This window comes from Homo sapiens, chromosome 2 (genome assembly GCF_000001405.40).
Source record: "Homo sapiens chromosome 2, GRCh38.p14 Primary Assembly".
Classification (NCBI taxonomy): Eukaryota; Metazoa; Chordata; class Mammalia; order Primates; family Hominidae; genus Homo; species Homo sapiens.
The window spans coordinates 233,052,009-233,076,802 of NC_000002.12; the positions used below are offsets into that span (position 1 = coordinate 233,052,009).

General features: G+C 48.2%; 1 protein-coding gene across 4 annotated transcripts in view, besides 11 other annotated features; it reads left to right on the top strand.

Annotated features, from left to right (window-relative positions):
* Positions 2,040 to 2,199: a silencer, noted in NCBI's record as "silent region_12465". NCBI's record gives its function as "represses an Ori minimal core promoter by ATAC-STARR-seq in GM12878 lymphoblastoid cells {active_cell/tissue: GM12878}" and the evidence as "EXISTENCE:reporter gene assay evidence [ECO:0000049][PMID:35858748]".
* Positions 8,009 to 8,288: an enhancer, noted in NCBI's record as "active region_17328". NCBI's record gives its function as "activates an Ori minimal core promoter by ATAC-STARR-seq in GM12878 lymphoblastoid cells {active_cell/tissue: GM12878}" and the evidence as "EXISTENCE:reporter gene assay evidence [ECO:0000049][PMID:35858748]".
* The window catches only part of INPP5D (inositol polyphosphate-5-phosphatase D), a 147,562-nt gene continuing 131,101 nt past the window's right edge, over positions 8,334 to 24,794 (top strand). For all 4 annotated transcript variants that reach the window (NM_001017915.3, XM_047444219.1, NM_005541.5 and 1 more), the window contains exon 1: positions 8,334 to 8,604. In NM_001017915.3, coding sequence (NP_001017915.1) covers positions 8,471 to 8,604 — 134 coding nt within the window. In that variant the 5' untranslated portion in view covers positions 8,334 to 8,470. The remainder of the gene's footprint in view (positions 8,605 to 24,794) is intronic.
* Positions 8,489 to 8,568: a silencer, noted in NCBI's record as "silent region_12466". NCBI's record gives its function as "represses an Ori minimal core promoter by ATAC-STARR-seq in GM12878 lymphoblastoid cells {active_cell/tissue: GM12878}" and the evidence as "EXISTENCE:reporter gene assay evidence [ECO:0000049][PMID:35858748]".
* Positions 8,889 to 8,978: an enhancer, noted in NCBI's record as "active region_17329". NCBI's record gives its function as "activates an Ori minimal core promoter by ATAC-STARR-seq in GM12878 lymphoblastoid cells {active_cell/tissue: GM12878}" and the evidence as "EXISTENCE:reporter gene assay evidence [ECO:0000049][PMID:35858748]".
* Positions 10,065 to 10,658: an enhancer, noted in NCBI's record as "H3K27ac-H3K4me1 hESC enhancer chr2:233926783-233927376 (GRCh37/hg19 assembly coordinates)". NCBI's record gives its function as "activates a minimal SCP1, AML or CMV promoter by ChIP-STARR-seq in naive H9 embryonic stem cells {active_cell/tissue: H9 hESC(naive)}" and the evidence as "EXISTENCE:reporter gene assay evidence [ECO:0000049][PMID:30033119]".
* Positions 10,639 to 10,688: a silencer, noted in NCBI's record as "silent region_12467". NCBI's record gives its function as "represses an Ori minimal core promoter by ATAC-STARR-seq in GM12878 lymphoblastoid cells {active_cell/tissue: GM12878}" and the evidence as "EXISTENCE:reporter gene assay evidence [ECO:0000049][PMID:35858748]".
* Positions 10,639 to 11,252: a biological region, named in NCBI's record as "H3K27ac-H3K4me1 hESC enhancer GRCh37_chr2:233927377-233927970".
* Positions 10,659 to 11,252: an enhancer, noted in NCBI's record as "H3K27ac-H3K4me1 hESC enhancer chr2:233927377-233927970 (GRCh37/hg19 assembly coordinates)". NCBI's record gives its function as "activates a minimal SCP1, AML or CMV promoter by ChIP-STARR-seq in naive H9 embryonic stem cells {active_cell/tissue: H9 hESC(naive)}" and the evidence as "EXISTENCE:reporter gene assay evidence [ECO:0000049][PMID:30033119]".
* Positions 11,265 to 11,374: an enhancer, noted in NCBI's record as "active region_17330". NCBI's record gives its function as "activates an Ori minimal core promoter by ATAC-STARR-seq in GM12878 lymphoblastoid cells {active_cell/tissue: GM12878}" and the evidence as "EXISTENCE:reporter gene assay evidence [ECO:0000049][PMID:35858748]".
* Positions 17,124 to 17,193: a silencer, noted in NCBI's record as "silent region_12468". NCBI's record gives its function as "represses an Ori minimal core promoter by ATAC-STARR-seq in GM12878 lymphoblastoid cells {active_cell/tissue: GM12878}" and the evidence as "EXISTENCE:reporter gene assay evidence [ECO:0000049][PMID:35858748]".
* Positions 21,277 to 21,982: an enhancer, noted in NCBI's record as "H3K4me1 hESC enhancer chr2:233937995-233938700 (GRCh37/hg19 assembly coordinates)". NCBI's record gives its function as "activates a minimal SCP1, AML or CMV promoter by ChIP-STARR-seq in naive H9 embryonic stem cells {active_cell/tissue: H9 hESC(naive)}" and the evidence as "EXISTENCE:reporter gene assay evidence [ECO:0000049][PMID:30033119]".

Consider the following 24,794-nt stretch of genomic DNA (forward strand, 5'->3'; position numbering starts at 1 on the left):
ACACTCCATAGGGGTGGGGTGGGGCAATCGCAGTGGTGGGGGTGGGGATCGCAGGCCTGCCTTGCTTCACATCCAGGTGTAGGCTTAACTGCAACAAAGCTACCAAGAGGCCATGGGCTTGGCCCCTTCATGTTCAGTGCAAGAAACAGATCTAGACAGCTTTCTAGAAAGGGAATGTATTTATACATTTTCCTAAAAGTTCAAACGCAAGGAGAGAGCTCATTCTTAAATCAATATTGTAATGAAAGTCAAGAATTCCTTTGAAATAAAAGTCCCCAGGGCTTGTTTTTTAAAAACCTGTTTCATAAGTAGGATTTTCATCCATGTCACTTTCTTAAAGTAGGACACTCCAGAATTGCCCCTCTGAGTTTTAGAAAATATTAAACCCCAGTTATCACCAACAGTAGGTATGTAAATTGGTGCAACCACTTTGGAAGACAATACGGCATAACTAATCAAAACTAAAAATGCACACAACCGTTGAACGCTCATTCCTCTTCTAGGGATTTTTCTTGCAGATAGACTAACTAAAAACTGGAATCTTTGGGAGGCTGAGGTGGGCGGATCCCTTGAGGTCAGGAGTTTGAGACCAGCCTGGCCAACATGATGAAACCCCATCTCTACTAAAAATACAAAAAATAGCTGGGCATGGTGGCACATGCCTGTAGTCCCAGCTACTCAGGAGGCTGAGGTACGAGAATCGCTTGAGCCTGGGAGGCGGAGGTTACAGTGAGCCAAGATCTCACCACTGCACTCCAGCCTGGGCAGCTGAGCCAGACCCCATCTCAAAAACAAAAACAAAACCAAAAAAACCCTGGAATCTATGTGTCCAGGGAGAGGAAACTGGTAAAATGCACCATGTTATGATATAGAATAGTAGGTATGTTTAAAAGAATGTGGTAGATATAAACTAGCTCCACGAAATGTCCAGAAATCTGAAGTGAAAAATGAAAGACACATAATAGAGTATTTAAAAAAGGGGGCCCTGCAAAAATCGGGTTGTATATGCATAGAAAACACTGAAAGACTGCACAAGACACTGGCCCTGGAGAAATGGATCTGGGGTCTGGGCTGGCAGGAAAACTTACTTTTTATTGTAAACCCTTTTGAGCATGTTAAATAACATGTTACTATGTGCACATGTTACTTTTCAATGTAAAAAAAAAAAAAGGTTAAGGAGAGAAAAGTTGGTCTCTTTCTTAGGAATCCTGAGAGGAATGATGGGGGAAGAGTCTCCCAGGATACAACCAGCCATCCACACAAAACAAAATGCTTCCAGCAGGATTTTACACACACTACCTTGATCTGGAGTTCTCTTTTTATTTAATTTTTTTATGTGGGCAGTAAAGGAAAGCTGGAAAAGTAGATGGAAGAAAAAAAATTGCTCGTGGATATGCCGCCTAACTCAACCCTGTTCACCTCCAGTGTCTTTCCAGGATAGAGCTTTTTCCATAGTTGGAATCGTAATGTATTCCCATTTGGTTTCTTGATTTGTTTGTTTGTTTTGAGATGGAGTCTCACTCTGTCGCACAGGCTGGAGTGCAGTGGTGCGATCTCAGCTCGCTGCAACCTCCGCCACCTGGATTCAAGCGAGTCTCCTTCCTCAGCCTCCCAAGTAGCTGGGACTTCGGGTGCCTGTCACCATACCTGGCTAATTTTTGGATTTTTAGTAGGGTTTTGCTAGGTTGGCCAGGCTGTTCTTGAACTCCTGACTTCTGGAGATCTGTTCACCTTGGCCTCCCAAAGTCCTGGGATTACAGGTGTGAGACACTGCACCCGGCCTTGATTTGTTTTTTCACTAAACGTTGTATTACGAATATTTCCCTCTGTCCTTAAGAATCTTGACAAGAGACATATGTTGGCTTTTTGGACATGGTTTCCTCTTACCCAATTCTTCCCAAAGTCAATCCTAATTCTCCTTGTTTTCTTTCAAGCTCATTTGATTTTCCGGCATCTTCAGTGAAACAGGAGATGCTCGCTGCCAGGCCTTCGGTATTCACAGATGTCCTTTAGCACAATTATGGACTCCATGGGCCCTTGGACTCCTTGGGGATCGCCCCTGTGCCTGTCAGCGATGTTCCCGGCTCTGGTCCCAGGGGGAGGCCAGAGTGCAGCGCCACCTGGTGGCCGGGAGTCACAAGGCGCAGACCCGGACCCGTTCAGGTTCTTTGTAGTCGCAGGTAAAGAGTTCTCTTCTAGAATTGGGTTAAACCGGTGGCGAAGGTCACTGATGCCAGCTGCCCGCTGGAGCCCCCAGGAGCCCACCGAAGCTCTGCCCTTCAGGAGCTGGTCAGGGGGCCGCCTGGGAGACCCGCCTCATCGTGAGGACCTACCTGGTGCCAGACACATTACATAATTTCACAGACATTCTTCAACAGGGTGTCACTATCCCTTTACAGAGATGCAAACCAATCCAGAGATGCTACATAGTCATGGTAAAGCTGAGATTTGGATCCCAGCCTTGTTCCTGTGTGTCTAATTCAGAGTCTGATTTGCAGCACTAAAATGGAGCTTATCAGAGGAGCAGAACAGGGAAGGGGTGGAGGGTGCCATGATTTGAGATGTTGCCTTCCCATTGTTGGGGATGCACCAAGCCCCAGGAAGCCGTGGGGCCACATAGATGGATGGTCTCTGGCAAAATCTGTCAGGAATTCAGAGGACTGTGGCCACTAGCTCTGCAAATCTGAATGAAATTTGTGCCTGCAGGGGCCTGGGTGGATCTGGAAACGTCAAGATGCCGGTAGCAGAAATGGAACTGGAAAAGGAAAGGCAGGCTGGTGGAGCCTGGTATCTTGACAGAGCTCCAAAAACAACTGTGGAGAGAGAGGGATGGACAGAGAGAGAGAGAGAAGAGAGAGAGAGAGAGAGAGAGAGAGAGAGAGAGAGAGAGAGAGAGAGAGAAGGCTGGGTGGGGAGAGAGAGAGCTGGGAGGGAAGAAATTCTTTTCTGGCAGACAATAAGGGATCATAATCTGCTAGTTTGGGAGTGCTCCAGCTCTGCCAGACGTCTCCAGTGGGACGGTCTCCCTTCATCCTAGTCAGGGGCTGGGACTTGACTTCCTCTTCCACCATCTCAGTAAGCGACCTTGGCCTTTGATTTGAGAGGGGCCGATGTGGGCAGGGTAGATTCTCAGGACACAGGAGAGCATCCATCCTTCTTAACAAACTGTGAATAAGGTGCTGGCTCCTGCTTTTGACTGGTTTTCCCGGCTGGTCTTCCTCAGTGGCAGGAAGCAGGAGCCTGGGGGCTGACCCACCTGCCCTGGGCTCCTTGGGAGGGGAACAGTGGTGCTTGATCCCAGGAGGCTCCCTGTGAGTGGCTGCTCCCTTCTCCAGCAAAGGATGTCTTATTATCAGGTCTGAAGATGAGGGAAGTTCACTATTGATTACGCCAGCCAGTGAGCAACTTTCTAACTTCACGGTCAAGTATTTGCCCTTCTATTAATCAGGGTTCTTCAGAGAAGCAGATAGATAAGTAGATAGATTAGATAGATAGGGAGATAGATGGCTAGATAGATAGGGAGATAGATGGCTAGATAGATAGATAGATGGCTAAATAGATAGATGGATGGCTACATGGATGGATAGATAGATGGCTAGATAGATGGATGGATAGCTACATAGATGGATGGATAGATAGATAGATAGATAGATGGCTAAATAGATAGATGGCTAGATAGATAGACAGACAGATGGCTAGATACATAGACAGATGGCTAGATAGATATATGGATAAATAGATGACTAGATAGATAGATGACTAAATAGATAGGCAGATCGATAGATTTATAGATCAATAGATAGATAGGTAATAGTTAGACAGATGGCTAGACAGATGGATGGCCAGATAGATAGATAGATGGCTAGATAGATAGTGACTAGATAGATGGATAGGTAGATGGCTAGATAGATAGATGGATGGATGGTTAGCTAGATAGCTAGATAAATGGCTGGATAGATAGATGGATGGCTAGATACATAGATGACTAGATAGATAGTGGCTAGATGGATAGATAGATGGATGGCTAGATAGATGGCTAGATAGATAAATAGATGGATAGATAGATAGATGGCTAGATAGGTGGATAGATAGGTGGATGGCTAGAGAGATACACAGATGTATGGATAGATAGATAGATAGATAGATAGATAGATAGATAGATAGATAGATAGATATGGAATTGGCTCATAGGATGGTCAAGGCTGGCAAGTGCAAAGTCTGTAGAGTGGGCTGGCAGGCTGGAGACCCCGGGAAGAGTTGATGCTGCGGCTCGAGTCCATAGGCAATCTACTGGCAAATTTACTCTTTGGAGGAAGTCAGTCTTTTTCTATTAAGACCTTCAGCTTATTGGATGAGGCCTACACACAGGAATTGCTTTACTCAAAGTCTACTGATTTAAATGTTCATGTCATCTAAAAAATACTTTCAGAGAGACATCCAGAATAATGTTGACCAAATATCTGGGTCCTGAGGCCCAGCCAAGTTGACATAAAATTAACCATCACTGCTCCCTTTGCTTTTAGCACTCAGTGAGTGAACACTTTCAGCCCCTGCACCCCAAGCCATGAGTGATATCTATCTATCCACCCAGGCTGGGGGGAGTGGGAGCCCTGGGGCATAGTAAAGGGCTTCGATGAACACAGGAGGGGAAGGGAAGTACAGAGACAAATGCTTAGATATATTGTATATCTGTTAACATTGTATAGTAAATATATATTATATATATATAATGTGTGTGTATATATATACACACTATATATATGATGTAATGTGTGTGTGTATGTGTGTATATATATATATATATATACACACACACACACACATATATATATACAGTATATATTGACCTCTGCCTCCCCTCTCCTGGCTCAGTCCCTTCTCAGACCCTGAAATTCTTTCTGTTTCTTGTCCACGGTGGAAGGACCCCTGGACAAGAAGCTTGGTGTCTCCATTGTCCCTCTCTCCCAGCCTGCCCTGACCCTGTCCTGAGACTCAAACCTTCCTGTGACCCGCCCTCACTTAAGGTTGCCAAAGCAGAATTGCTCCAATGCCTTGGCCCTGCCATGTCAGCCCTCCTCTTCAACACTGAGGCCTGTCTGTTCTTCCCGGAGCTTCTAGAGTTGGCTGAGTGCCCATGACCAGGTGCCTGCCAGACCACCCTGATGCTTCTCACTGCCCAGCTTTCCCAGAAATTGTTCAAGTCCCCTGATGGGGCCTGGGGCTTGCCAGGGCTGGCAGTGCCTTTGGGCAGGTGCCCCAGTCTGGACCCAGGATCACATGAGTGAGTCTGACCCCACTTCTTCCCCTCAGCTGCTTTCCAAGCCTCTGCCCCATGGGTGAGGTTGACCAGATGCTCCAAGGAATGCATAGACTCACACTATGCAATCGCTCTGGGGCCCTATGGCTGGGTGTGACTCCTGGGCACAGCCTGGGGAGCAGGTTTCTCCTTTGAGTGGCCCCGAGCATTGAGGACAGCAAGGATAGTGGCAGGTGGTCTAGGCCCTCATCACCCCTGCCAGCAGCAGCTGGCAGTCCCTTATCCCTTCTGGAGGCTCCTGTCCACTATCAGGCAGCTGCCTCCTCCAACGTCTTTCGAGGACATTGCTCCACAGCACCGATACACCCACGGGCTCTTCCCATCAGCATCATCTCCCACCTCCCATCCATGTGGTGATGCTGAGCTCTCCACATTGATCCTGCCAAGCCAGATGCAGGCAGACATCCCTGGAGAGTGAGACTGCTCTTGTATGTGGAGGGCCAGGGTGCAATCATCATCAAATGGGATCTCAAGGTAGGAATGCAGTGATTATGGCCTAACACATTCAAGAGAATATGGCTGGAAGATGTGTGGTTCTACCTTTATGCTATAAAATTTGGAACAGTAATTTTTTTTTTTTTTTACTGTGTCGCTCTATCACCCAGGCTGGAGTGCAGTGGCACGATCTCGACTCACTGCAATCTTCGCCTCCTGGGTTCAAGTGATTATCCTGCTCAGCCTCCAAAGTAGCTGTAGCTGCGATTATAGGCACGTACCACACCCACCTGATTTTTTTTTTTTTTTTTTTTAGTAGAGACAGGGTTTCACCATGTTGGCCAGGCTGGTCTCAAACTCCTGACCTCAGGTGATCCACTCCCCTCAGCCTCCCAAAGTGCTGGGATTACAGGTGTTAGCCACTGTGCCTGGCCACTCTCTAGCCATTATTTGAAGTCTTCATTGATAAATCACTATCCCTCACATGAGTTTGTGAATTTTGTAATACGTTAAAATTATTTATATTGACTGGAGACCTACAAAAAAAAAAAATCCACCCACCAAAAGGGCAGCTCTGATCTAGATACTGGGATTTCCTGAATGTGGAGGGCAGAAGGGTGGGGGACAAGCCAGCTGACCATGCTGGATAGATCAGGCAATTGGGTGGAAAAGGAAGCAAAGTTGGGATGGGCCTTAAAAATGAGGGAAGAGTGCCCGTGTGGCGTGTGTGCCAGGGGATCTCACTCTGTGGAATGGCAAGGACCGTGGGAATAGAGGTGTGAGAGGTGGGGGGCTGGGGGTTTGGGGGAAGCTCTCTAAGTAGGGCAGTCTTGGCATGGTAGGGGTCTCTAGAGATGAGTGGGTGGAGGTGTAAAGGGACCAGTATTGCAAATGGATCCTCCTGGTGGCGTGGTCCAGGACTTCATGGATGTTGGTGGAGGCCAGCAGGGAAGTGAGAAGGGTGTGAAGGTACACAATGGGAGCATAGGAGATGACCCCATAAGGAGGGGGTGGACAGGTGCTGAGTGGAGGCGTGGGTGGGGAATGAGAGGCCTCCACACTGGGCTGCTGCAGAGGTGGCGTGCTGCGGAAGGGCCGGAGCATGGAGGCCAGTTCCCATCACCACTCTATCCCCACGCCTGGCTCCCAGCCTGGCCAGAGGTCCTTGACTGGGAGTGCTTTGTCTGCCCTACAGACTCGCCTGCCATGTGTGTTGCTCAGCGGGGAGGTGCTGGGGGCCCTGTTCTGGGACAACCATCAGTGTGACACATGTTGAGCCCCTGGGCACATGTGAGCTCTTTTACGAGCTACGTCCTTCAAGTTAGACAAGAAGAAACCAAGGCCGAGAGAGAGAAGAAACTTGACCAGGTTCCCACAGCTTGAATGTGGTGGCGCTGCCTGGCTGGTGCCCCTTCCTGGAGGGAGTCTGTTGTCATGTCCTGGAGGCCAAGGCCTGGATGTGGGATGGTGGGGGCACTCTTTGTGCAGCGGGTCAACACGTGCCCCTTCGGCCTTGGTGGGCCGGACCCAAGGACGGAAGGTGCCCAGGTCTGGGGGCTGAGGGATGGGTGTCCACCGCAGAGCCCTCAGAAATGACTGGTCCTGGATGGCGGTCCCTGGAGAGGCAGCTCCTCTTTGAGTGGTGGGCATATGTGGCCATGCCCAGTCTTGGAGGCGGTGCAGTCCGACCGGCCACCCCGACTGCTGAGACGCAGGACTCAGCACCCAGTGTTGTCCTTGGCCAGGCGGCCAGCCTGCCCTGTGGGGCTTTGGGGTTCTCCTCTCCGAGCTTGTTTCCCCAGCATCCTGGAGAAGCCCAGGGAAAAACCCAGCCTATGTTCCCGCTGTAAACGGCCCACATCCCCTCCAAGCTCCCTTTGTGTGTCTCCAAGCTGGACTGCAGGGATCAGAGCTGTGCTGCCCGTGCAGCACCCACCCGCCCCTGGGAATGAGGGTAATGGGGTCACAGAGCCATCACTTGGACCTTGGCGCCCTCGGCTGGTGGCAGCCAAGGTCTCCCAGCACCCAGGCCGCTGGGAGTCTCTAAAGGGGAGGGGTGGGGCTCGACTGTCCCCTCCCCCTCAAGTTTGCTCTGTCCTGGGCAGGCCGTAGTCCCAGTTGAGAAGCTGTGCCCCCTTGGGTGTTTTGGAGGTTCAGGGTGGGTGCTGAAAAGCCCTGAGGGAGAGCAGAAGGCTCGGGGGCCTGTCTAGGGCATGGCATCCCACGTGGGTGTCAGCACGGCCGCAGAAGAACCACTTCTCTGGCCCACCCATGCCTGCTAGGCCATGCTTCTTCAGAAGTGGCCACAACTCTCCTGACGTCTCCAGAGCCGGTCATTCCACCCAGGGGGACTTCAGCTGCCACTGGACACTTCAATTGTACGCTGCGACCAGTTGCCAGGAAGGAGAGGGCTGGCAAGAGAGCCGCGGCAGCCGTGGCAGGGTGTAGGGGACGGTGGACGGCCAGGGCCCCCCCCTCTCTCTCTTTCTCTCTCTCTCTCTTGCTTGGTTTCTGTAATGAGGAAGTTCTCCGCAGCTCAGTTTCCTTTCCCTCACTGAGCGCCTGAAACAGGAAGTCAGTCAGTTAAGCTGGTGGCAGCAGCCGAGGCCACCAAGAGGCAACGGGCGGCAGGTTGCAGTGGAGGGGCCTCCGCTCCCCTCGGTGGTGTGTGGGTCCTGGGGGTGCCTGCCGGCCCGGCCGAGGAGGCCCACGCCCACCATGGTCCCCTGCTGGAACCATGGCAACATCACCCGCTCCAAGGCGGAGGAGCTGCTTTCCAGGACAGGCAAGGACGGGAGCTTCCTCGTGCGTGCCAGCGAGTCCATCTCCCGGGCATACGCGCTCTGCGTGCTGTGAGTACAACCTGCTCCCTCCCCGGGCACAGATATGACAGAGGGGCTTAGAGGGGGCCCAGCTTTGAGATGGGTTGTTCTTATGTCACAGGACAGAGTGATCTGACATGCACACTTCCCCGCCACCCTGTCATGGACCTTGTCCTTGGAGTTCAGAGAGCTGGTCTCATGGCAGGTTTTGCAGCCTTGGAGCTGTCAGAACCACTCTGAGGCCTGATGTTACACCCCAGCTTCCCATGAGCTGTATGGACCTTGTGGCTTCCTTGGAGTCTGGGGACCGAGAGAAGGGAGTTTGGGCTTTTGGAGCCAGGAGGAAGCTCAGGGCTCTGTGGAGGTGGGTGTGTTAGAGATCAGCTCAAAGATGCCCAGCTCAGAAACCCTGAGAAGAGCAAAGGTGGCAAGGGGGACCCTTCCTGGAGCACCCAGGCTTCGGGCCCCTGGAGGAAGCTGTTGTTTGGCGAGCCAAGAATATGGGGTGAGTTTAATCAAGAAAGGACTTTCCATTCAGTCAGAAGCTGCTTTCAGGGGCCTGAGAGCAGAGGAAGTCACCATTACCACCAGCGAGCAGCCTCTTCTCTCTCCTGAGCACTTGGCTGTGACCGCTGCCCACCCCCCACCCCCTCAATTTGGGTCTCTGTCACCATCAACTCCTCCCACTGCCCGGTTGGGGATGTTACTGAATGTACCAGCTGTGCTAACAATGGAGGAACCAGCCACTTGCTGAAGGTTCCTTTCTAAAACCCCCTTCCTGTCCAGCGTCTGAAGGAGGCCCTTGCCCTGCAGCTCTCGGTCTAATCATAGGGGGGCCTTGCCCTGCAGCTCTTGGTCTAATCATTTTGCCGGGGCCTCAGGCAGTGCCGGAGTGTAGTCAGGGAAATGTGTGTCCACCTGAACATCTCAAGTAGCATCCCTGGGCTGGCAGAAATGTTCCCCCGAGCAGCCAGGGCCTTGTGCTTCTCCAGGCAGGAGGGGAATTGGGTGATGAACCCAGACCTGTTTTGAATACTGACTCACAGCTGGGACCTGTCGTGCTAAGCATTTGTTAGCCCATTTCATCCTCACCACAACCTAAAGTGAAGGTCCTGTTAAAAGCCCCACTTTGCAGATGAGAAATCTGAGGCCCTGGCAGGTTAAGTGAGTGACAACAGTCAAAGCCACGGCCATCTGCCCCCAGAGGCTGCAGCTGAGACCAGCAGCCTGTGGCCCAACCTCTCCTGCTCCCAGTCCAGCGGGGCAGGCATGTAGCCTTGCAGGGCTGGAGAAAGAAGCAAGGGGAGCCACAGTGTTTACAGGGTCAGCTGGGGCACTGGAAACCAAGCCAGGCTCGCAGCTGGTCGCTGGCCTGTGCTGACAGTCTGCAGCCCCACCTCCAAAGACTGGTTTCCTGTGTCCCCTCTCTCATGCCTCAGGGGAAGGAACGCAGGCCCAGGCTGCCTGGACTTCCCCAGTGGGGACCTGCTGCTGCCGGGGCCTTAGAAGGAGCAGGAAGATTCTCTTAGGCCTCTCACAAGCCCAGTCTGACTCCACCTGGCCCATGTGGGTTACTTGGATTTCTCTCCTGGCCCAGTGGGATCTTGTCCTGGCTGTTTGGTGTTGGCTGAGCCGAGGGCTTCCAGGGCCCCATCTCATTAACCTTCAACACAGCCCTTTGACCAGGGCTTGCTTTGTGGTTGCTCAGGTTACAGACATGGGGCGTGGGTCTCTCTGACTCCGAGCCGTGAGCATCTTAACGTCTAGGATTAGCCTGAGCCAGAGTCAGAGCTGGAGAGGCCTTGGAGAAGCTCTGGTGCAACAGCCCTGGCTTTTCAGGAGGTAGACAGAGGGCAGAGAGCCTGAGGCCTTTGTCCACCATGCTGGCTGGGGTCAAAACTGCTGGGATCCAGGCCAGTTCTCGTATTCCTTCCTCTACCTCTTCTCTCTGAACCCTTGTCTGCACTGAGTTCTCTCAGAGTCATGATGGGTGTGCAGTGTCTGCTCCTTAGAGAGGGACCTGTGGTGCCTACAGATGTCCACTATCCTCTCAGCCGAAGCCTCGTCAGCCTCCTATCCTGAGGCTGCTGGGCTGCAAACACCAGGAGTCCCACCCCTTGGCCAGACAAACCCTGGGCTCAGTGTTTCCCTTTCTCCTCTGCTCAGGGTGGGAAGCTTCCCTTCCTGCAGGGTCAGGCTCCACTGTAGGCCGTGGGTTGCTATGGACCTGCAGACTTTCCATACATCTGCAGGCTTCATATGGCTGCCACCCTGGATTTTGCCAATTACGGAGATTTTAAAACTAAAAACTAATTAAATGAATGATAACAAACTGTCATCTTCCAACACCTCATTTCTTGAAAGAAAGCAGCCTTTGACACCAAAAGAGGCAGGAAGGGCATTAAAAAAAAAAAAGCCAGTCATTTAAAGCAAAGAGATTGAACTTCTTGAAAAACAAACCCTACCACCCTTAGTTTTCTGTGTTCCCTGCAGAGTCGCCGTGGCCTGACGGAGACGGCAGAGGCAGACAGTCCCAGGCTGAGGGGTGTGCAGGGCAGCCGGGTTTTCTGCGGCTGCAGAAGTAGCAGGCTTTGCCCCCCTAGCCCTGGAAGCCTGGAGCCACCCTGCTCTAGAAGTGACTGCAGAAGGAAGCCACACACTCACCCTCCTGCCCTAGCAAAGTCCATGGGAAAAGTATACCTGCCCCATGGCCCCTCAGATCACCCAGGTGCCCTGACCTCATCCTGCCTGGGCCCCAGCAGCACTCCCTCCCAGGCCCCCTCTGGTGGGCAAGGGGACAACGGCCGGAGTCTCCACCTGATGGTTTGGGCAAGTGTGCCTGGAGTCTCAGGAACTGAGAGCAGCCTCACCAGGGAGGGGCCTTTGTGCTCAGGAAAGAGAACAGGATTTGACTATGTAAATGGACTTGAGCGGGGGTTGGACATCAAAAGACAGGGCTACAGTTCAGTGCCACCCATGTGACTTAGGAGTGCACATTCTGCGCACACCCAGCAAACCCTGCATTTCCTCGAGAGAGGTCAGCCCCGTCACCTACCACTGGGCAGGAAAGCTTTGATCTCACCTCAGCAGCTTGGAAAGCCCTGCTTGACAGGGAGCCTGGGCTCCATCTCGGGGCACAGACAGTTGCAGTGGGAAGACTCCAGCAGGTGGCTGCCTGGTTTGGGTCCAACTCTGCCGTCTTTCAGCCAGGGGCTCTTCTAAGTAGAGCCTATGTTGTCCCCACCTGGTCCCCACTCAAATCCCCCGGCAGAGTTGGCCCTGCTCCGGGGGGAGTCTGTGGGTGCCTCCAGGGGACGTTGGGTACATCGTGGGTGGGAGACATTAAGAGCTGTCAGGCTCATGCCCTCTCCTGCCACGCAGGGGCCAGCACACCTGGCAGGGCCTTATGCTGCAAAGAAGAGATGCCTTGGGAATGGGGTCAGTCAATGCAAGGGTCCATGGGTTGGCCGAGCCGGCATCCCCTTGTGCAATCTGCACAGGCAAAGCTGATCAAAGGCCCAATGTCAGTATATAGGCTGCCCTCTCTGCAGGAGCAGCTGGGGCCCGGGATCAGGCCTAGAGTGGCCGGCTCAGCTGTCTGCCATCCAGCCTGGAGTTGCGCAGGAGGGCGGCGTTCCCAGCCAACCACTCCAGAGAGAGGGGGCTTCCCTCATGGGGGAGGCGAAGGCACGTGGCTGCCTTTGGCTCAGAACCCAGTGCCTGGTCTGGCCACAGCTGACAGTGTGGTTTTGGTTTCCCTCCACATGTGGCCTTCCACAGGCCACCCAGGCACCATGGCAGGGTCTTGCTTACCCCTTCCCAGGGGCAGTGTAGACAGTGCACCGGACAGACCTGGCTTCACCAGCAGAAGGTTGTTACCAACCTGCTCCGCCTAATAACAGCAGGCAACTTCCAAAGAGCTCTGTGCCAGGCACCATTCTAGGCTTATATTGACTCATTTGATGTCCACGAAGACCTTCAAAGGAGGTCTTATTATCTCCACTTTACAGATGGGGAAACCGAGGTGCAGAGCGGTTTATGGAACAGGCCTAGTTTACAGGACTAACAAATAAAAGGGCCAGGATTGCATGCATGATCTTCCTGGAAGCGAGAAACAGAGACCATAAGGTGGCCTGTGTGGGGCGGGGCAGAGCCTGGAGAGGGAACTTCTCGTGATGGAGCCGCAGAGAAGGGACTTGGGAGGGCGAAACTCCTAATCTCAGAGAGTCCAACAGAGTTGGAAAGCTGTGGTGTGAGCGGGTGGCTAAGTCTCCCTTTCGAAGCTTCAGTAAAATAGACACTGTTAATTGTTTTTGTGCAAATGCAATAAGGCACTATTTTTCATATCTGATATTGACAGTCAGTGGGAAAAAATGCTGGCCCAGGTCGTAGCCAGAGCTACTGACATCTGGCTCACACCAGAAAGCCGGCCAAGGGGCTTTATCCAAGGCTGACTGTGCCGGGTTTTCTCTCTGCATGCAAGACCAGGAAGGGGTATGTGCCCTGGAAGGCCTATGTATTTCACTCACTAACTGTATCTTCCATGTGAAGTGACGCAGAGCAAGCATGTTAAAATGGAGTCTCCAGGTTTTCTGTGCCTACGCTCAGCCCCCGTGAAAAGTCCTTTCGGGTCCAGAGATTAGGCTCCAGCTTTGATGCTTTGCATGTTTGTCTACCTGGTAGGTTAAATTCATAAATTCATGAACACAATCAGCACTTCTTGGGTTTTTTTTTTTTTTTTTTTTGACAGAGTCTTGCTCTGTCGCCAAGGCTGGAGTGCAGTGGTGCAATCTTGGTTCACTGCAACCTCCGCCTCCCAGGATTAAGCAATTCTCCTACTTCAGCCCTCCAAGCAGCTGGGATTACAGGTGCCTGCCACCACACCGGGCTAATTTTTTTTTTGTGTTATCCTCAGGTGATCTGGCCTCTTTAGCCTCCCAAAGTGCTGAGATTACAGGCATGAACCACTGCACCCAGCCTTTTTCTTTCTTTCTTTCCTTCTTTCTTTCTTTCTTTCTTTCTTTCTTTCTTTCTTTCTTTCTTTCTTTCTTTCTTTCTTTCTTTCTTTCTTTTTTTTTTTTTGAGACAGAGTCTCGCTCTGTCGCCCAGGCTAAAGTGCCATAGCATGATCTTGGCTCACTGCAACCTCCACCTCCAGGATTCAAGCAATTCTTCTGCCTCAGCCTCCTGAGTAGCTGGGATTACAGGTACCCACCACCATACCTGGCTAATTTTTGTATTTTTAGTAGCGATGGGGTTTCACCATGTTGGCTAGGCTGGTCTCAAACTCCTGACCTCGTGATCCACCTGCCTCGGCCTCCCAAAGTGCTGGGATTACAGGTGTGAGCCACCGCACCTGGCCTTTTTTTAAAATTATTATTATTTTATTTTTTATTTTTGAGACACGGTCTTTCGCTGTTGCCCAGGTTGGAGTGCAGTGGCACAATCACAGCTCACTGCAGCCTTGCTTGATCAAGCGATCCTCCTGCCTCAGTTTCCCGAGTAGCTGGTATTCCAGGTGCAAGTCACCAAGCCTGGCTAATCTTTTTTATGTAGAGACAGGGTTTTGCTATGTTGCCCAGGCTGGCCCCCAACTCCTGGAGTCAGGTGGTTCTCCCACCTTGGCCTCCCGAAGTGCTGGCATTACAAGTGTGAGCCGCTGCACGCAGCCTCACATCAGCACCTCTCAATCAATTGGTGCCATCTCCCTGCACATGAACCCTTGCGTCATGATGACATGTGGTCCTCACAGCCAGGCATTTCTCCCCACCCCAGACATAGAGTGAGAGGAGCTCTGCTCTTCCCTCAATAATTCGTGCCATGCTGTGCACTCCTGAGGAGCAAGGCTCTGTGGTCTGCTGGCTCTGCTGGGCTGCATTTGCAAAATGCTAACCTTCCTGTGTCAACCCAGCATCTTCACAGGTGGAATGAGGATGACAAGGCCAAAGCCCACTCGTTGGGTTATTTTTTCAAATTGAGGTATAATTCATATTCCATACAGTCACCCTTTCTATGGTGTACAATTCTTAATTTTCTTTTTTTCCAAGACAGTCTTGCTCTGTTGCCCAGGCTGGAGTGCAGTGGCATGATCTCGGCGCACTGCAACCTCTGTCTCCCGGGTTGAAGTGATTCTCCTGCCTCAGGCTCCTGAGTAGCTGGGATTACAGGCGCATGCCACCATGCCCGGCTAATTTTTTTTTTTCTTTTTGAGACAGAGTCTCATCTCACCCCTGTTGCCCAGGCTGGAATGCAATGGTGTGTTCTTGGCTCACTGTAACCTCCGCTTCCTGAATTCAAGCAATCCTCTGCCTCAGCTTCCCAAATAGCTGGGATTACAGGTGCCTCCCATCACACCCAGCTAATTTTTGTATTTTTAGTAGAGACGAGGTTTCACCATGTTGGCTAGGCTGGTCCCGAACTCCTGACCTCAGGTGATCTGCCCGCCTAGGCCTCCCAAAGTGCTGGGATTACAGGCGTGAGCCACTGCACCTGGCCCTGGTATACAATTCTTTATCGTGCTTTTAGTGCATTCACAATGTTGTGAAACCAACACCACTGTCTGATTCCAGGACATTCTCAATACCTCGAAAAGAAAAGAAACCCTGTACCCACAGCAGTCACTCCCTATTCCCTCTCCACCCAAACCCTGGCAGCAACTAAATGACTTTTTGTCTATGGATTTATCTTTTCCGGATGTTTCATAACTGGAAACATACAACATGTGGACTTTGGGGCCAGCTTCTTTCACTGAGCACAATGCTGTCAAGCTTCATCTGTGTTGTGGCATGAATCACTCCTCTCCAGGGCTGACTAATGAGCCACTGTATTGAAAGAACCACATTTTGTTTATCCATTCATCAGTTGACAGGCATTTGGGTTGTTTCCACTTTTGGGCTATAATGAATAATGCTGTGATGAACATTCATATACAAGGTTTTGTGCAAACATATATTTTCAATATTCTTGGGTCTATATCTAGGAGCAGAATTGCTGGGTCATTTAAGTCTAACACTTTGAGGAACAGCTAAACTGTTTTCCTTGGTGGATCCACCATTTTGCATTCCTACTAGCAACATCTGAGGGTTCCAATGTCTCCACTTCCCTACCAGCACTTGTTATTATCTTTTTTATTATAGCCATCCTAGTGGGTGTGAAGTGATGTCTTATTGTGGTTTTAATTTGCATTTCTCTAATGGCTAATGATGCCAAACGTCTTTTCTCATGGTTAATGGCCATTTGTATTTGGAGAAAAGTCAATTCAGATCCTTTGTACATTTAGAAAACAGGGTTGTTTGTCTTTTCCTTGTTTCCTTGGGTTATCAAGAGGACAAAATGGAAAGATGTGAGTGACATTTACAGCCCAAGTCCAGGCATGTGGTAAGCACCCACCGAATGCTTTGCACACATAAAAATCATGCTGGTGCTGGGCAAGGTGGCTCATGCCTGTAATCCCAGCACTTTGGGAGGCCGAGGTGGGTGGATCACCTGAGGTCGGGAGTTCAAGACCAGCATGACCAACATGGAGAAACCCCATCTTTACTAAAAATACAAAATTAGCCTGCGATGGTGGCATATGCCTGTAATCCCAGCTACTCGAGAGGCTGAGGCAGCAGAATTGCTTGAACTTGGGAGGCAGAGGTTGTGGTGAGCCGAGATGGCACCCTTGCACTCCAGCCTGGGCAACAAGAGTGAAACTCTGTCTCAAAAAAAAAAAAAAAAATCATGCTGGTGATCAGGTGTGGTGGCTCACACCTGTAATCCCAGTACTTTGGGAGGCTGAGGCAAGAGGATCATGAGGTCAGGAGTTTGAGACCAGCCTGGCCAACACAGTGAAACCCTGTCTCTACTAAAAATACGAAAAATTTAGCTGGGCATGGTGGCGGGTGCCTGTAATCCCAGCTACTTGGGAGGCTGAGGCAGGAGAATTGCTTGAACCCAGGAGGTGGAGGTTGCAGTGAGCCGAGATCGTGCCATTGCACTCCAGCCTGGGCGACAGAGCTAGAATCCGTCTAAAAAAAAAAATCGTGCTGGCAATTAGTCTTTATGAGCTAAAAGTGACTAGTGACATCTCAGAAGCAGAGGAGTACAGGACCCATCTGTGAAGAACATTCCATACAGAGGAGAGAAGAGAATGGGGGCAGAGGATTGCTTAGGAAACTTCCTGGAGGCCTCTGGGGGATGCTGAGTTGTCACTTGAGGCCTCCTTGGAGGAAGCACTCAGAGAGATGGAAGCAGGAAGAGGACTGAGTGATGCCCCTGTGACGGAGGCTGCTGGGGACAGGGCTGGGAGCCTGGAAGCCAGCAGGAGGAAGGGATGGGGGCACAGAGGCACACAGAGTGAAACCAGGGGCAATGAACATGACATCAGGAAGAAAGGCAGGCATCTGAAGACCACTGGGCTCCAATTGAGGGGGTGGGTGCAGAGGGTACTGAAGTCCTGGGGCTGAGGACGATGGAAGGAGCACAGCATGTTCCATGACGGGGGTACTCAGGCTTGACAGGTGCGGCAGCACGTGGGGACCAGATTCTCTCCCCTGCTCACTTCAGGCTCCTGTTGTCCCCTTTCATTAGGAAAACACGATATTAACAAGTGCAGGCCCCTAACAGTTTGGGTTCAATACTTACTGTAAACAACCCCACGGAGGGCTGTCCCCGAGAGATCATTTGGGACCTCCCCGGAGCAGAGAGGCTTGCTGGACCACACAGCTGTCAGTGGCAATGGAGAAACAAATAGATCTGATAAACAGCAATGTCCTGTTCTTTAGAGTCACTTTAAAAAATGGTATTTATACAAAGCACAGAAAGTACAAAGCAAAAAGCAGAAAAGTAACCACCCCATCACTGAGACACTAGAATAACCATTGTTAATTCACTGGTGTATCTTCTTCTTCTCTCTACCTCCCTGTATGTATGTAATTTCCATTTTGTATATACATGTATTACATGTATATGTATAATTTTAGTCTGAGATTTCTAGCAGCATTAGCATTTTCCCATTTAGTTAGAATTTCTTCCTAAATATCATATTTTAATTTTAGTCTGAGATTTCTAGCAGCATTAGCATTTTCCCATTTAGTTAGGTTTTCTTCCTAATGATCATATTTAATGGATGTACAGGATTCTATTACATGATGTGCGACACTTCATGAAATGATTCTTCTATTATCAGATATTTAAGTTATCAACAGCATTTTGTTGTTATAAATATGACTGATGAAGGTCTTTTGCAGAAATGTTATAAACATGTCTGGTTATAGATTCCGAGGAGTGGAATTACTAGATCGAGGGACAGGAATGTTTTTAAGGCTCTTGATACAGAATGATACATTGCTTTCCAGAAATTTTTTTCCATATATGCACCAGTAAGCTGTACAAGAGAGTGCCCGCCTCATTCTAACCTTCCTATTCTGAATATTTTCATTTCAAAACACAATACATTGCAAGGTGAAGGTGGTGAATGTTCATTTTGATTTGCATTTGATTGTGGTCACGTTGAGCTTATTTGATAGAGTTATTGACCCTCATAATCCCTCTTTCGTGAATGGTCTGTTCAATTCTCTTTGCCATTTTTCTATCGAAGCTATAGTTTTTCTGTTATCTACTTGCACAAGTTTATATCACACTTGTTGCAAATATTTTCATTGTGATTTTCCTTTAAGTTTTATGATTTTTTTTTGACATTCAGGGACTGTAAATTTTTATATAGTGAAGTCTCTCAGTCTTTTCCTTTTTTCTCCCTTCGCTTTTCAATGCAGAGAATCCCTCTGCACACAGAAATTCACTTGTTTCTTCTTGTACAAGGCAGGTGGGTTATGACAGAGACTTTGGAGCTAATAGACTTGGGCTAAGGATTCAGCAGGTTTTTTTTTTTTTTTCGAGATGGTGTCTCTGTCTGTCACCCAGGCTGGAGTGCAATGGTGTGATCTTGGCTCACTGCAAACTTCTGCCTCCCCAGTTCAAGTGATTCTTCTGCCTCAGTCTCCCGAGTAGCTGGGATTACAGGCTCCCGCCACCATGCCCAGCTAATTTTTGTATTTTTTAGTAGAGACGGGGTCTCACCATATTGGCCAGGCTGCTTTCAAACTCCTGACCTTGTGGTCCGCTCGCCTCGGCCTCCCAAAGTGCTGGGATTACAGGCGTGAGCCACCGCGCCCGGCCAGGATCCAGCAGTTTATTTAATTCCACTGGGCCCTGGTTCCCCTTTCGAAAACCAGTGCTAAGAATACCTATGTGGTAATGTTGTGGGGCAGATTGGATGGAAAATATGTATCATGTTTTTAGCACAGTACTTGGTAAAAACAAATGAAGCAGTTATGGGTTTTTTACTTTTGTTTTTGTTTGTTTGTTTTACATTGAACCATTTAATCTCTCTGGAATTAATTTAACAAATGATGCAGGATACAGATTTAGGCTGGGCACAGTGGCTCACACCTGTAATTGCAGCACTTTGGGAGGCCGAGGCGGCCGGATCACCAGAGGTCAGGAGATCAAGACCATCCTGGCTAACATAGTGAAATCCTGTCTCTACTAAAGATACAAAAAAAATAAAAATAAAAATTAGCTTGCCGTGGTGGTGTGTGCCTATAGTTCCAGCTACCTGGGAGGCTGAGGTGGGAGAATTGTTAGAACCCAGGAGGCAGAGGTTGCAGTGAGCCAAGATTGTGCCTCTCTACACTCCAGCTTGGGCCACAGAGTGAGTCTCTGCCTCAAAAAAAGGAAAAAAAAAAAGATTTATGTGTATTTTTCTCAGCTAATCATCTTTCCCAAAACCTCTTACTGAATAACATTCCTTTACCCTTTGGGGTTCCTCTTTTATCATATTTTAAGTCATATATCTTTCTTTGTGTTTGTACTCTGTTCCATGTATATCTGCTTTTCTTTCCCCAATATCATAACAATTATACCACCTAATTTTATAAAATATTTTATTTTAGGTGATTTTCATATCTATTCTTCCAGGTGAACCAGCTAATAATATTGCCAAGTTGGAGAAAACTACTATTGGGACTTTGATTGGAATTGTACAAAATCCATAATATAGCTGGTATAAATTGACATTTTGGTAATATTCAGTCTTAACAAATATGGTTGTCCCTGTTATTTTAAATTTTGTAATTTTCTTCATATAGATCCTGCATATTTATTGTTATAATTTCTTCTGATTATCTTATACTCTTATTACTATTGTGAATACATTTTCCCCTACATTTCATTATAACTGATAACATACAGGGAAGTTTTAGATTTTATAAATCCATCTTTTATTCTGTCACTTTACTCACTCCTCATTATTTCAAATTGTTTTTTGGTTGCTTCTCTGGGATTTTCTTGTTTGACTCTCATGTTTGACTCTCGTGTCATCTACAAATTACCATTGTTTTGTGGTGTACTTTCCAAATACTTATGACACTTATTCAGATTTCATAACTTATTGCATGGGCCAGTATTTCTAAAACACTACAGTGGGGAATATTGGAAAAAGAAAACATCCACCTCAAGGAGACATACTGTGAGAATCGCTATGGACCACCTGGGAAGGGCATGGGATAGCCTCTGTCACCTAGTTACCACTTGATAAAAGGTAATTGTTGCTGTTTGTCATGTCCAAGAAGAAGCAGTCTTCTTCTAGTTTTAGAAAGAGTTCTGAAGGACTGAGTATTTAATTTTTATCAAATGCCTTTTTAATATCTATTGTGATGATTATATTATACCCCTTATTTCATTTACTGGTAAAATAATTTTATATATTTATATTTGGTTTATATATGTGAAACCATTTTGCATGATTACAATGAACTATTCTTGATACAATACTTTTTTATTGTACTCTGAAACTTATTTAGGGTTTTTATATATGTATTCATAGTTGAGGTTGATTTACCTGATTTTGGTTATGTTATGGTTTTAAGTCATGTATATTTTACAAAATATTCTGGAGGCATTTATGTAGCATAATTATTATCTGATTTTTGAAATACTTAAAAAAAGTTGGTAAAGCCACTTCTTCTCAATGCCATTTATACAGATAATTCTTTAATATTTACTTCAATTTATTCTTTAGTGTTGAATTGGTCTTGTTTTCTATTTCCTCCCATGTCACTTCTGTTAAGTTATACGTAATTTTCAGAGAACAATCTATTTGTTGAGATTTTCAAAATTTCTGGCAAACAATCATGCATAGTTTTGTATAACTGTAAGTTTTCTCTTTTATTGTGGCTGTCTTCATTTTCTCATTTCTAACTGTTTGTGGTGCCCAGGGTCCTGGCAGGAAATAGATGGCATGTTCAACAGGAGTGATAAAGACAGGAATGGCAAGGCAGCCAGTGGCTGGCACCCTCAGGATCCATTCCCACCCCTGAACTGAAGAGGCAGTGGCCAGAGCTGTGTCACCAGAACCTGGCAGGGCTGCAGCTAGGAGACTCCAGAGGTGGAGTTCTGTCCCTGCAAATCTGCAGCAGGCAGGGTGGGGTCAGTGGAACAAATCAGCCCATCCCCCCTTCACTCACCCTGCTGGTGCCTCGCTTCAGCCAAACCTGGGTAAAGCAGCCCCCGGAGATTTGCTGGCTGCACAGGGCAGGTGGAAAAGGGTAGAGAGTGGGTCTCGCTGGGGGAGGGGAGGCAGGGAGAGGCTGTCCAGCTCACTCGCATTTGTTTCTTTCCTTGATTCTGTTTGTCACAGGTTTGTCCATTTAATCTCCTACTTTTCAAGTGACAGGCTCTTAGGTTGGTTAATCTCTTCTGCTTTTTGTTTTTATATTCTAAAAAATGATCTCTGGACCGGACACAGTGGCTCACGCCTGTAATCCCAGCACTTTGGGAGGCTGAAGCAGGCGGATCACCTGAGGTCAGGAGTTCAAGACCAGCCTGGCCAACATGGTGAAACCCCATCTCTACTAAAAGTACAAACATTAGCCGAACATGGTGGCGGGTGCCTGTAATCCCAGCTACTCCGGAGGCTGAGACAGGAGAACAGCTTGAACCTGGGAGGCAGAGGTTGCAGTGAGCCGAGATCGAGCCATTGCACTCCAGCCTGGGCGACAAGAGCGAAACTCAATCTCAAAAAAAAAAAAAAAAAAAAAAAAAATCTCTGTCTTTTCAGGAAGCCCTGTTGCATCTGTAGGACTGAGATCAGCTTCTGTATTTCTCTTCTTCCCTCTCTTTTTTAAATCTTTGTCTTTTCCTCTAGTACCACTTTCTTGAGTGTGTCTTTTTCCTCGTTCACTTTCTCCAATCCATAGCTGCTATTTCCTGCCTCTGTCGTGTGTTAAATTCTGACTCTAAACGTCCCGGCTGTCCCTAATGGTCAGTTTCCTTTATCTCAGTTTGCTCATTTTTCACAATCAATCCCTCCAATTTCTGATATGCAGTGGTCTCTCGAATCTTCCTGAGTTCACAAATCAGACTTGTCCAGAATTTATTTTTATCAGTGATTCTATTTAAGATGGAAGTAACTCCCTGGAGTCCTTAGGAAAATGCCCTTTTCTGGATGGTGACATGTTTTCATAGGTCAGGTGATTTTTCTTTTCTGACAAAGAACTGTCGAGAACAATTGGATCAGATTTGTTCAGAGATGGGAGTGGGTTAAAACGACTGGCACTGGATGGGAGATGACAATTCAAGATCCAGCCGGTGGTGGGGCCAGAGATGAGGGTGTGGTGAGACACACAGAGGATGGGCTCCCTCCAAGGGTTGAGAGGGGGCGCCTCATACCTGGGTCTTGTCTTTGAGTAGCTGTCAGACGAGGAATAGCCCGCTGGACCCTCAAGCTGTTGTGGGGGTGCTCAGCCAGCTCCCAATAATACTCGGCCAGCCTCACCTCCATCTCTCACCTCCTGGCCAGCTGAGCCACCTGTTAATGCTTTCTCCCTTCTGGAGGGGTCCATGTTAGCAAGAAATGGCCTCTTTTCATTCATCAACTTTAGCTTTCTCTCTGGCTGTGATTCTTCAAGGTTTGGAGTGGCGAATGGTGAACAGTTTGTTTCCCAAGGTTGCCACACATTTTCTTGTCCTTCTACATTGGTGCAAATAGTTTTTTTTGTGTTTTTTTTTTGAACGCAGGGTTTCCAGCCCCCGTTCTCCTACCCCATCTTGTCCAGAAATCTGCAGAAACACAAGTCTTAAGAAAATGCAAAAACACAGACAAAAACATTAGAAATTAGAAATGATACGTAACAAGAGTCACAAAAGGATTTAAAAGCAATTACAGGAGCAGATCAGCAAAGCAAGATAGGAACACAAAGAGGTTCTTGAATTTTATAGTTGGATTCTCTGTCTCTCTGTGGGTCTGTCCATGGTGAAGATGTTCCTGGGTCTGGCTGTCAGTGTTCATTTGGCTAGGAATGGCCACACAGAAATGCTAAGATTTATCTGAAAGAATCAAACACGATGATGTTTCTTCCTACTTCCACGGGCTTGTCCTCCCATATTAGAGTAGAACTTCTCGTACTACATCAGGGTTGACCTGGTCCAGAAATGCTCTTCTACTGAGAAGCACCTTCCTGCCTCTTCTTTGCCTCCACACTCAGCACAGGGTGGGCACCTGTCATCACCCAGCACCTGTGGGAGTCACATGGGAAATTTGCTGTAAGCCCCCCTTCATTTGGGAATGGAACAAATCTCATTTGTTAGCAGAAGGAAGTACTGTTGGGCCCAGTGCTATCCTAACCCAGATCTCCAATGGGAATAATCCTGATCTGATTACTCTGAAAGGTCATCCAGTCACTGGGAGGAGTCTCAGCTGAGAGCCAGTGTTAGCGTAACAAGGTGTTACCAAATCACCACAAAGAGCTGGGGAAGGGCTGGGCGGGACCCACTGCCCCTAAAGAGCAGTGAGCATGTTTTCCAGGTTATGTTCCAGGGCAGCAATTGCCAAACACTATTTAGTTGTAGAATCTTTGCTTTAAACATTTTGCATGCAAGATATTGTGTGTGTGTGTGTGCATGTGTACATACACACATGCATGCATGCATGTTACATGTATACACATGTATGCATATGTTGTGTGTGCACATGTATATGTGTGTGTGTGTGTGTGTATATAGGACCAGAGTGAAGTACAAACTGCTGGTGGGGTGGCAGGCCAAGTGAGCACCTTCCTCCACCGCTTGGCAGAGCCTCCACACCCGTGGAATACAGTTTGGTACTACTGCTCACCCAACGACTTGTGTGTGGCGGGGCTGATGGGGTGTGTGTGGGGTGGTGCTGTATGTTTTCCCTTGAAGGTTGAAACTGATTCAGCCCTGGGGGTCAGAATGTCCAGCCCTGTGCATTGGCTATGCAGGGTCATTAACATCTGCTGAGATGTTACTGTCTAAGGGGGAAGTATCTTCTTCCTGTTATACTAGCTTTTGAATTCTGATCTGTTTTGGTAACATGGAGCTGTTTCTTTGTTTCAGTGTTTCTAGAACATCTTTGAAAAAGCCATAAAGGTTTGTCTGCCACACTTGATTGAACCAAAAAGCCTTTCCTGTTCTGTGCGCCTGCCTCTGACTCTCCCTTCGTGATTATGTTCTTTCTCTCTGTCTACAGGCTGATGTTTGGGCTGGCTGGAGCTCTTCCACAAGTCAGCTGCCCTCAGCCAAATAAGAGGCTGTTCTCACCCCTCACCTCATTTGCATACCTACAGGAGGAAGTGCCAAGGGAAGAGAGCATTGAAAAATAAGAGCACAGCAGAGTTGAGCTATCTCCACATTTGTCTGGCAGGCTCTGCAAAGGGGATTGAGGCCAGTGGTTCTCTGTGTCCCAGAGGTGTCCCTGGGAGATGTAGTGTCACTGGACTAGAGATTCATCCTTGCTATCTCTGATGCAAGACGATTGTATCAATTCAGGCTCTGGAGGTAGGACAGGGAGCAGAAGGATGGGGACTAAAGCCATGGAAGAAAGACAGAAAAATCACCTTTTCTATGTGAAGTGAAGAGACATGTGGAAGTGAAATTACTCAAAATTCTTTTTAAGTACCCATGATGCAAAAGCCATAAAATAAAATATTGTAAAATTAGCCACATAAAATTGTAAAACATCTACACAGCTTTAAAAACAACCTGTTAAAAATAACTCCAAAATATATTGTAGCATATATCAGAGTCTTATTCATAACTAAGCAAAAAATGATACCAAAATAAGCGAGTCAAAGACACAAAAGGGAATTCACAGAAAAAGAAATACAGATAACTAAACATGGGAACATGCTGAAGGACTTTTCTCATAAAGAAAGGCAAAT